Consider the following 12212-nt stretch of genomic DNA (forward strand, 5'->3'; position numbering starts at 1 on the left):
ATGCCTGTAATCCCAGCTCTTTGGGAGGCCGAGGCGGGTGGATCATGAGGTCAGGAGATCGAGACCATCCTGGCTAACATGGTGAAACCCCGTCTCTACTAAAAAATACAAAACAGTAGCCAGGCGTGGCGGCGGGTGCGTGTAGTCCCAGCTACTCGGGAGGCTGAGGCAGGAGAATGGCATGAACCCGGGAGGCGGCTGAGATTGCGCCACTGCACTCCAGCCTGGGTGACAGAGCAAGACTCCATCTCAAAAAAAAAAAAAGTTTATTACATCAAGATGCATGCAATACACTATCTTAAGTCATAGGAGACTTCTTTGTGTGTAATGCAATACACAGGTTAAAAAAAAACAGTGGATTCGGTTTCCTTTAAATGTAGTGCTAATTATTGGTAGAAACTTTTTGAGTTGGTATGTTTTCTTTAGGACAAGTCTTTTCCTCTGGTAGGCAAGAACCACCAGGAGAAAACTACAAGCCATGTGAGGAATAGAGTTAATAAAGAGCAGTGTTCATGGCTCATTTATCTGTATTTACTTAAAACTTTCCTTAAATAATTCTGGGTTAGGAAAAAAGCCCCACAAAATAAAATGAAATATAACAGTTAAATGAGAACTCAATTTTATTTACATCTATTTATTTCCATTCAGTGTATCACATCTTCAGGATAGGTGATAACAGTGTGAAGGGTGTGCTCATTTTCTTCAGCTGTGAGTAGAGGAGTCTTCCCGAGAGTAGCAGTTGTTGATCCAAATGATTGAAGCCTTCAGGTAAGGGAATAACTGCTGCAGGAATTCTTTCTTGAAGAATTTAAGCTGTTTGGTAGGAATTCTGTAACTACATACCTTTGAAACACTATTCACATTCAAATAAACGCTTGTTTTCTAGCCAGGCACAGGCTCAATTAGTTTTTCAAACTCTAGCCAAGGCAGTATTTCATTTGGGAAATCATGCAACAGAACTGCTCAATTCTTAACTTCTCCTGCTGTTAACATTTACACTTAGACTGCCAGCAACAGTTAACTTAAATTTTGGTCTCAAGGGAACAAAAAAAAATTGCATTCAGAATTTAATATAGTATTTTAAAACTAATTTTAGCCTGTAAGTCATTATGAGCAATAGTAACTTTTGTACCTCCTCATCTTGTCTGATAATATATTCTATATGCTGTCAATCTGATTATATAGTCTATATGCTAGAAGTTGCTGATTTTCATTCTGCCACCAAGAAAACTGTACTTTTATTTATGGGAAAAGGATTTAAATACTCCTAGATACTTAAAATTTTTTTAATCTAAAAGTTGATTTTCTCCCAAGAACAATTTTGTTTGCTTTCTACAAAGTTTTAAGTTTAATAAAATGCCGGTAATCACCACTGTTTTCCTCCCCAAAATAAATGCTCTGATCCATATTATATTAGAGTGATACTGTCACTTAGTATTGATATCTTTAATATTTTTTACATCATGAGACATTGTTATGATCTTACCTGATTGTTATCTCAAGGTGAGCTAATCATCTTTATTTGCCTTAAAAAATACTGTACTGGCTGGATATTTAATCTTGTTAGTTTAGTTATACACTTGTTTTAGTCGAGTTTAATTCAAAAGGACTCTTAACAGTATGGTGTAAAACTCAGATTTTCTAGTCCAGACAAATTGCTCTCTATAACGATTTGGCAGATCAATGGAGACATCCGTTTTAACTTTACTGTTCTGTACTTACTATGTAGTCATGTGCAGCTTATCAACACAAAGAATACGGATGAGGGCATTTAAATGGACTACAAGTGACTCTGACTTGTAAACTAGGGAAGCCTCTTGTGTTTGACCTTAAAGGCCAGAGAAAAACTGAAGATAGATTGACTTAACTATTGCCAAGCAGATTATGGGTTACTTTATACTTCCTTTCATTCTCCCAGAATTGCTCTTAGAGCTAGGTGTCGTCATTAGCATGTTGTTGCTAATGATACAAACAAGAACATACATGTAATCAGAGGTGGACAAATCTTCAGAAGTTCCTTAAACTGGTTTAAAAAAGAAGATTGGGAAAGAAGACTAAATCAACATGTTTCTCCGCTTTGAAGATAAAACCAGAAATGGTTTCCATTGTAGCATCTTGACAATAGACAAATATGTAAAGTTTATAGCAGATAAGACAGTATTACTAGTTTTTCAGGGAATTGAGAGTTACAGGTTACTCTGTGTGTGTGTGTGTGTGTGTGTGTGTGTGTGTGTGTGTGTAAATTTCCCGATTTATCACTAGAGTGAGTAACTAACTAACTAACTGCTTTATAAAGCTATCCTGGTATTCATATGCCATATACTACGGAAACAACCAGGCCAATCTCCATTCGATTTCATTTCTCACTTTGTTCACTTGCATATTAATCACGTATTTCCTAAAGTATTATTTAGTAGACCACACCAGCACAATGGTTCCTCCAGCTTTTGGCAGGTGGTCTTACTGTACAGAAGTTATAAATGACACATACAACCTTCCCCTGCTCCCTCCCCATGAGCATGATGCATGTTGTAGTCAGACAGTAACATTTCCATATGTACATGTGCACAAATACATTAAAAACATTTCAGAATTATATAAAATTGTACATTACAGGAAGTAGAACCATAAAGATTATCCTAAATGTAACTACAGAGAAAATGCGTGCAGGGAGAGCCCAGTAAAGTACACAGCCTGTGGGGTATATAATTTTATTTTAAGTTTATATTTCCTGCAGGATAGCAACATACATCTTTTCCTACCCAGAGGCAAAATACATTTTCCAAAAACGTGGACACTGCCCACTGCATTAAGTTTAAAGTGCTCCCTATATATATAGACAGTAAAAGTAAGCAAAGAAACTTACAACACATTCCAATCTTTAATATCTCAAAAATGTTTCCAAGGCAACATTATTAAAATAATTATACCACAGTCCCTAATATAACATCAAGCTCCAGTAGGAAGGTACAGAGAGGGCAGGAAGTTTCCATCCAGTCTGGTTTAGGTGCTCTTCTTTTCTTCACCCAGTAAATTCACGGTAGCTTTCTTCGCTGTTTGTTTGTTAGGAGGGAAAGAAAAATATATCAAAGCTCTTTCTTTGGAATGCAAGCTTGCAAGCTTTGTGCCTAATGTAGCTACTAGATAACAAAACTTGGATGACTCATGTTCAGGTGCGATCATGTTGGGGTTTGTGGTCTGGGCTAAGAGGGTTTCCAGGAAATGGAGAAGGTACCTCTTAGAGCACAAATCCTAAATACTTGAGCAAAATACTTGAAGGTCATCTAGCCTAGCCCCTTGTTGTGACAGTGTCACCGAAACTGTCTGCCCTCTATTCTCCTTTAAGCATTGAAAGAAGCAGAGATTCCTTAAGAGTAGTGTTCAAATTCTATTTGTATCTGTGTGCTTGCCTGTAAGATTTCACTTATCAATATATTATCAATCTGATGACAACTAGGTCATCATATTTATCCCATGGCGACAAATCAGAGAAGTCCTCATTCCCAGCACTAGAAATACAGTCATCCCTTGATATATGTGTTTGGGGGGGGGGGCTGGGGGGGCGGTGGGGGAGAGGAGATTAGTTCCAGGAACCCTACAGATACCAAAATCTGTGAGTGCTCAAGCCCTTAAATAGAATGGCATACATAGTATTTCCATATAACCTATGTGCTTTCATATACTTTATTTATTTACTTATTTATTTTTTGAGACGGAGTCTCGCTCTGTCACCCAGCCTGGAGTGCAGTGGCGCGATCTCGGCTCACTACAGGCTCTGCCTCCCGGGTTCATGCCATTCTCCTGCCTCAGCCTCCCGAGTAGCTGGGACTACATGCACTCACCACCACGCCCAGCTAATTTTTTTTTGTATTTTTAGTAGAGATGGGGTTTCACTGTGTTAGCCAGGATGGTCTCAATTTCCTGACCTCGTGATCTGCCCGCCTTGGCCTCCCAAAGTGCTGGGATTACAGACGTAAGCCACCATGCCCGGCCTCTTCCATATACTTTAAATTCGGCCAGGCATAATGACTCATGCCTGTAATCGCAGCACTTTGGGAGGCTGAGGTGGGAAGATCGCTTGAAGCCAGGAATTTGAGACCAGCCTGGCCAATATGAATGGTGAGACCCCCACCCCCCACCTCTATTTTAAAAAAATTTTAAAAGCCCATCTCTAGTTAAAGTACCTAATGCAACATGAATGCTATATAAATTGTTGTTATACTAAATTGTTTTTAAAATCTGTATTTATACTCTTATTGTGCCACCATTCTCTCCTATGATGAGAAGAGTTTGCTCTAAGTCTTTGAGTTGGTGACAAGACACTACATTCATCAAGAAAACATTCTGTCCAGGTGTGGTGGCTCATGTCTATAATCCCAGAGCTTTGAGAGGCTGAGGTAGGAGTATTCCTTGAAGCCAGGAGTTTGAGATCACCCTGGCCAAAACACAGTGAGAGCCCATCTCTATAGAAAAAAAAGAAAAATATATTTTCTTACTTCTGCAGGAGACCAAGCCTTCCACTTTCTAATTACCAAGTGGCAGGGAATGTGCTATGAGAACCAGTACAGTGTGTAAGATGGAGGGGAAAGGGGTTGTCTAGAAGCCTCCAGGGCCCACTGTGAGATTTTACAATCTGCAGCTGTTCTTGATGGAGCCAGAGCCTTAGTGATGAGAGCCAAGGAGTCCCTTCTTGTCCACCAGCTGCCTGATAGTTGCTCTCCCTTTGCTCAGTTAAAATTACTGAACCAAGTTCACAGCAAAGGAGAAAATGTAGTCCTTCCCTTAACTAACCCTTTGTAGAAATTCCTAGTTAATCCAAAAGCTTTGAGAAAAGTCTAAAATGTGGCAGCATGTAAATTCCTCCTAACTTATTTTAATTCTCTTGCCCCTATTTAGGAATGTGTCATAACAAAGTAAGATTGGATTTTAAGTATTGATATCTAAGAGAACCAAGAGGCTAAGAAATGTGGGTGAAGTAGACAGAAATGACATCACCACAGGTTGCTGATTAGGCTAAGGGAAGGGAGAAGAAAAGAAAGCTCTTAAAAATAAGCTGGTAATCCTGGCTGGGCATGGTGGCTCATGCCTGTAATCCCAGCATTTTGAGAGGCCGAGGTGGGTGGATCACTTGAGGCCAGGAGTTTGAAACCAGCCTGGCCAACATGGCATAACGGTGTCTCTACTAAAAATACAAGTATCAGCTGGGCGTGGTGGCCCACACCTGTAATCACAGCTACTTGGGAGGCTGAGGCAGCAGAATCCCTTGAACCTGGAAGGTGGAGGCTGCAGTGAGCTGAGATCATGCTACTGCACTCCAGCCTGGGCAACAGAGTGAGACTCTGTTTCAAAAAAAAAAAAAAAAAAAAAAAGCTGGCAATCCTAAAGTGGGAGGAGGTTAAGGCTACAAGTTAAAAAATACCTAAAACATATTCAAGTAGACTGGATTTGTATGCCCAAAAATAGGAGTCCAGAGAAGAGAGGTCTGTGAGGGAGAAATGGGGAACATACCACTTCTGGGGCATCAGTGCTGCTGGAGAACTGTCTTGGGATTTTACTTCCCCATGGTCAGGCAACCTCACAACTCCCATGTCTAACTACCACAGAGCTCTAAAACACAAAAACCTTTCTCCAATTTCTAAAATCTGAGTCCCTCTGGAACTCAAGACCCATCACTGGCAAAATCTATATCCTCATCCATTCCTCCGAATGTTTCCTTTACCTTCTTGCTCTTAGAGAAAGCTGGCTGTGCCCTGAGGACACTGCTTTCTCAAGTGGTGGCTGTTTCTTTCCTCTCATGACCCTAGTACAAATGGATCTGGTAGGTGTTGTTTTTGTTCTTCATTGCCACTTTCAGAATCTCATGTCATCAGATTCTATCACTGAGTAGCCTTCCCTTTCCCTGTCATCCCTGACTCTTGGGCTACTTTGCCTTAGTTCTTGAAGATTTTAGCTCCTAACTTAATGTTCCTTTCTAACACTACTCCTATTATTTATTTATTTAGAGACAGGGTCTCACTCTGTCACCCAGGCTGGAATGCAGTGATGCCATCTCAGCTCACTGCAGCCTCAACCTCCAGGCTCAGGTGATCCTCCCATCTCAGCCTCCTGAGTAGCTGGGACTACTGGTACGCATCACCACATCTGGCTAATTTTTGTGTTTTTTTTTTTTTGTAGAGACTGGGTTTCACCATGTTACTCAGGCTGGTCTCAAACACCTGAGCTCAAGCAATCCACCCACCTTGACCTCTGGAAGTGCTGTGATTACAGGTGTGAGCACTGCACCTGACCTACTACTCCTATTTTAATTATTGATGATTTTAATATCCATGTAGACATATGTGATGATCTTCTAATATCCTGACCTCTTAGTTCCTCCCCTCCAATAACCCTTATATTCCACCCTACATATGGCACTGACTCCCAGGATCCCTGTTAGTACCAATACTGCAGTCCCTCCATAATCTTGTATCAAGCATCCCACTCAGCCACCATCACCTTTTATCTTTGTAGTGCACTCCCCACCCTGCTTTTTTGCTCATTGTAGATGATGATGGAGTATTCCCGCTATTATCCTGATTCAGAGTTCTTCCACCACCACTTCCCACCTTACTCAGGTTAAATTCCATTGTCAAGCATTAACCACTCCACAGTCCCACCCTCACTTCATAGTTCTTGCTGGAAATCACAACCTTGACACAACTCTCCACCTACTCTGTAGCTATACCCATGTAGCTGAGTATGGCTGGAGAAAAACATAAACAAGAACTGGTTTCACTATAAATTCATGAACGCAAATCTCAAGCATGCCTTTAACACTGCCTGACAGTCCATTTACTCTCCAACTGTCCTAGAGGGGCCAGCACACTGCAGCCAAACTCGCTTATGTAGTGTCCATGGCTGTTTTCACACTACAATGGCAGAGAAGAGTAGCTGCAACAGAGACATGATAGCCCACGAAATTTAAAACATTTGTTATCTGGCCCTTTACAGAAAAAGATGAGCAGTCCCTCTCCTTCGCAACTATTTCATACCTTCTCTTTCCATTGTCTCCTTCCCCATCCTCTCTCAATTGGCCTTCCTACTTTACTGAGAAATATGAAACAATTAGAAAGTCACTTCTGTAGGCTCCCATAGTCACATGTGCTCACAGCATACCATAAAACCTGATTTCCCTGCTGTTACCATAAACTTCCAGCTCTTCGACCAATCCCTCTACTGTATACTGGATCCTTCACTGGTCAAGGACAGAGCTCCAACAATTCACCCTCTCACTCCTATCATCATTTTTTGCTCTGTTGAATTATTCCCATTAATTTTCAAACAGGCTTTGTTTCTCCTACCTTAAGAAAAAAACTTTTAAAATTTCAGGACCATAATTCCTTCTTCCAGTTATAGCCCCATTCTTCTGCTCTCCTTTGCAGGAAATTTCTCAAAAGAAAGATCTATATTCTCTCATCCCTTTTCTCTCATTCTCTCAAATCCATTGCAATCAGGAGTTTGATATCACTCCACAAAATCTGTGTTATCAAAATCACTAGTACCTTCCTCATTGCTAAATCTGCTCAGTTCTCAGTCCTTATCTTACTTGACCTGTTGACAGCATGTAACATGACAGATCACTTCTCCTCTCTGAAAGAAAAACTTTCTGTTCTTGGCCCCAGGGATACCACACGCTCATGGTTTTCTTGCTACCTCAATTGGCCACTCCTTATCAGTCTGCTTTGCTAGTTGCTTCTCATCTCTCCAGTCTCTAAACCTTAGACTCCCCAGCGTTCAGTCTTTGGACCTCCTGTTTCCTAACTACACTACCTTCGTGATCTCATCTAGTCTCATGCTTAATATGTATAAGCTTGTGGCCCCCAAATTTATATCTCCAGTCCAGACCTGTTTCTTGAACTCTTGACACCTGTATCCAACTAGCTATTTGACTAATCCTTGTAGGTATCTAACAAACAGACACCTCAAACAAATGTCCAGGACTAAATTCCATATCCTCCCACCCACCACAACCTCCCACCCCAACAAAACCTGTTCTACCCAGTCTTCTCCAGCTCAGTGGCAATTTTATCCTTCCATCTGTTCAGGCTAAAAAGCTCGTCCTTGTCCTTAACCCCTCTGACCCATGCCCAATCCATAAGCCAATCCATAAGCAAATCCCATTACTTCTACCTTTGAAATATATCAAGAATCTGATACTTCTTACCCCCTACTGCTACACAAGGAACCAAGCCACCATCATCACCTCCAGCCAGATCACTGCAAGAACCTTTTAACTGTTCTCCCAACTTCCTGCCTTACCCCTTCAGTCTGTTCCTAATACAGTGGCCACAGGCATCTTATTAAAACACAGGACAGATCATTTTGCTTCTGTGGTTAAAAGTCCCCAGTACCTCCACATCTCACATAGAGTAGAAGCCAAACCTTTACAATGGCCTATAAGGCATTATGTGATACGTCTTCCAGCCTCCATTCGCAACTTCTTCCACCTCATCTCCTCCTGCACCCCTCTAGATCACTTCTTTTGTTGCTCCCACCTCCGGACTTCTGTATATGCAGCTCATTCTAAAGTATGATTCCCCATGGTTCCTTCTTTTACCATTTTCTATTTTTTTTTTTTTTTAGGGGGATAGGGTTTTGCTTTGTAACCCAGGCTAGAGTGGCACAGCTCACTTGCAGCCTTGATTACCTGGGCCCAAGTGATCCTCCTGCCTCAGCCTCCTGAGTAGCTGGCACCACAGGCTTGCATCACAACGTCCGGCTAATTTTTAAATTTTTGTAGAGAGCGGGTCTCCATAGGAGACCCTGTCACAAACAAGCTGGTCTCAAACTTCTGGCCTCAAGTGATCTCCTGCCTTAGCCTCCCAAAATGTTGGGATTACAGGCTGAGTCACTGTTCCTGATTCCTTTACTACTATTGAGTCTGATTCAGTAGAGCCTTCTGGTATAGATTTCCTAAACGTCTCTATTTAAAATCATAACCATCCCTCCAGTCCTTGGCCCCCCCCCATCTTTCTACTTGCTTTATTTTTTCCCTATATTATATGGTAAATATACTATCTAATTTTCAATTTTACTGCCTATCTCTCAACTAGACTGTAAGCTTCATGAATTCAAGGAGTATGGTCTCTTCGGTATGCTGGTTCACTGCCAGTGTTATGAACATGCTTGGCACATATTAAACACCTCAATAAATAAATATTTATTGAGTGAATTAATCAGAGCTGAGAGTGGACATTCTTTTGTACCCATAACAAAAACTGAACAGCATACTGAACCGATCAATCTGAACTGAATCAGGCTGGCCGTCAGGGCCTCCAAAGTACTGCTTCTGTCTGGTCAGCCTGCTGCTACAGCCTTGGCCAGCTAGGCCCTGCTGCTCATGGTGCCAGCCCAGAGAGGAGCCAGCCAGGAGATGGTGAGTGCTGTGGGGGTGGGGAGCCCCAAGGAGAAGGCACTGAGGAGGAAAAACAGGATTAGCAGCTCAAACTGCCAGAGACAGAAAGCAAGCTCAAATGAGTGACCTGAAACAGCAAGTGGTAGATTTAGAACAGAACCAAAAACTTTTGCTAGAAAATCAGTTTTTACAAGAGAAAATGCATGGACTCGTAGTTGAGAACCATGAGTGAAGACAGCACTTGGGGATGGATGCTCTGGTTACTGAAGAGGAGGCGAAAGCCAAGATAATTCCATCTATTTGATGCTTGACATCCCTAACTAGGCAGATGAGGGTAGAAGTTAGTTGTGGTGGGGTTGGAAGTAAACATCAACTACCTTCCCAGTATGATATCCTGTTGGGCATTCTGGACAACTTAGACCCACTAGTGTTCTTCAAATGTCCTTCCCCAGGGTCTGCCAGCCTGGAGCAGCTCCCAGAGGTCTACTCAGAAGGACCCAATTCCTAACCAGCCTCCCTTTCTCTGTCAGTGGGGACATTATCAGCCAAGCTTGAAGCTATTAATGAACTAATTAATTTTGACTACATATATGCCAAGCCCGTAGTCTGAGACAGAGAGCCAAGCTAATGCGGTAGTGAAAATCAAGGAAGCACCTCTCAGCCTTTTAGAGAATGATCACCCAGAATTCGTGGTCTCAGTGAAGGAAGACTTTGTGGAAGATGACTTCATTCCAGACCTGGGTATCTCCAATCTACTTCCATCCAGCCACTGCCCGAAGCCATCTTCCTGTCTACTGGATGTTTACAGTGACTGTGGGTATGAGGGCTCCCCTTTCCCCTTCAGCGACATGGCCTCTCCACTTGGTGCAAACCATTCTAAGGAGGAGACTGGCCAATGAACTCTTTCACCAGCTGGTTAGTGTCTAAGGAGTGATCCAATACTGTTGCTCTTTTCCTTGACTATTACACTGCCTGGAGGATAGCAGAGAAGCCTGCCTGCGCTTCATTCAAAACGTCACAGAGTGTACAGTCCTAGAGAATTCCCCTATTTACCTGTTTAAACGTCATAGATAACCCCAAGTATTGTCTTTTGGCATCCAGCAGTCCAAGGTATTCGATATGTTACAATTCAGAACTATAGGTTTTGAGGTTGTACTTTTTCTAAAGAGTGGTAGTTTGCCCTAAATATTTATTATGTGAGGGTGATTAGACAAGTGTCTTAGAGTAGACATGGAATTCATGAATGGCTCTTTATCATTTCTCCTCCCGCTTTTTGGCATCCCAGGCTTGTCTCTAGTTTTAGGTCCTTTAGTTTTCTTCTGCAAGTGGAGAGAACACATACCTGAGGGGGCTCTTTTCCCCTCATGTACAGTTCAAGTAAAGATCAAGAATTTTTTGTAAAATTATAGAAATTTACTACGTAAATGCTTGATGGAATTTTTCCTGCTAGTATAGCTTTTGAAAGGTGCTTTCTCCATTTATTTAAAACTACCTATGTAATTAAGTATAATACAAAAAAATTAAATAAACAATTAGAAGAGATGGACTTGCATATCAATATAGATGATTCTCTAAAATCGCTGCCTACCAAGGAAAGTCATTTTTCCTAATGTTCTGACTGAAGGCTACATTAAATGTGGCATGGAGGAAGAGTCTTGGGAAAAGTCGAGAACTGTAAGTGTTCTCAATAGGCAAAGACTTTGTAAAGAAATCCCAGAGTAATGTTGGCATTTGGCTGAGGGGTGGTGATAAGACAAGAAGGCCAGGAAGCCTGTTATTTGAGCCCAGTGTGTCACATCTCCTCTCACATGTGGGGCCATCTTGTTCCTGAGTCTTACCTTCTTTAGTGATGGCATCTGCAGTCTCTTTGGCCTTGTCTTTAAGGTCCTTGACCACACTGTCCATCTGGGACTCGTGCTTCAGGAAGAAAGGACGGATGATGCGCTTGTAGAGCAGTTCAGCCCCATTAGAAGGGCTCGGGGCCATGCACCACAACAGGAAGCCACACTGCACAGAAAAAGAGCCAGCATGGGTAACAGGAGGGTGGAGGGGGCACATTCTGAGAATACACACTGTCTTTCACTACTCTGGGGATGGGAGATGCCTCTGTTATTTTCCCCAAAGGCATTACCAGTGTTTTCTGCAGGTTAAAGGTGGGCTTTCTTTAGATGGAAAAAACATGATGAGTAATGAGCTGGTAAGGAAAAGCTGAGACTAAAAAACAAAAGGTAAAACACACCAGGTCCAGGAGCTTAACTATCTTCCTAACTTGGACCACGTTTTAGTATATAGCTGTAAGAGGCTTTTATTAATCATAACTCTTAGAAATCAATTTAAGAAAATATAGTACTTATCTGCATGTATAAAGCCCTGTACAGATAAGCCTAATATCTAGGAGGCCTGTGCTTGGTAGGCTTATCTTGGTAAGTTTATCACATTTATTCATCCTATTATGGAAAAAATACCTTGTCCATTCCTGAATTCTTCCTTTGGTGGACCTCAGTTTTGGGTAGATCTTAGCCTTCAAGGAATCTTTACAGTTGTTCTTCATCTTTCATCTTGAATGTAGTTATTATTCCTAACTCCTTCTTTACAGCTCTACTTTGCCATTGAGATTTTTTTTTAATTGACAAGAATTCTGCCCTAATTACTTAAATAAGGATTTTCACACTATGTCCAAAAAATTTTTACTGTTGATTCAAATAATAAATACCAACTCGTCACTTCAAGTCATCCATGCAATTTACTCCTTTTTAAGATAAAAAGAAAAGCAGAAGGAAAAGGAATATTCAGAGTAATCTGCCCATTTCCCTAGAAA

General features: G+C 41.5%; 2 protein-coding genes and 1 pseudogene across 2 annotated transcripts in view; 2 read left to right on the forward strand and 1 right to left on the reverse strand.

Moving 5' to 3' along the window:
- SRP19 (signal recognition particle 19) overlaps positions 1-12212 on the forward strand; it is a 37085-nt gene that overhangs the window by 14496 nt on the left and 10377 nt on the right. The gene's annotated exons all lie outside the window — the stretch shown is intronic.
- REEP5 (receptor accessory protein 5) overlaps positions 603-12212 on the reverse strand; it is a 45843-nt gene continuing 34233 nt past the window's right edge. Inside the window, exons 4-5 of the mRNA NM_005669.5 lie at positions 11233-11401; positions 603-3053 (exon numbers count right to left, since the gene is read on the reverse strand). Coding sequence (NP_005660.4) covers positions 3004-3053; positions 11233-11401 — 219 coding nt within the window. The 3' untranslated portion in view covers positions 603-3003. The remainder of the gene's footprint in view (positions 3054-11232; positions 11402-12212) is intronic.
- XBP1P1 (X-box binding protein 1 pseudogene 1) lies at positions 9340-10905 on the forward strand (annotated as a pseudogene).

Source organism: Homo sapiens, chromosome 5 (genome assembly GCF_000001405.40).
Source record: "Homo sapiens chromosome 5, GRCh38.p14 Primary Assembly".
Taxonomy (NCBI): Eukaryota; Metazoa; Chordata; class Mammalia; order Primates; family Hominidae; genus Homo; species Homo sapiens.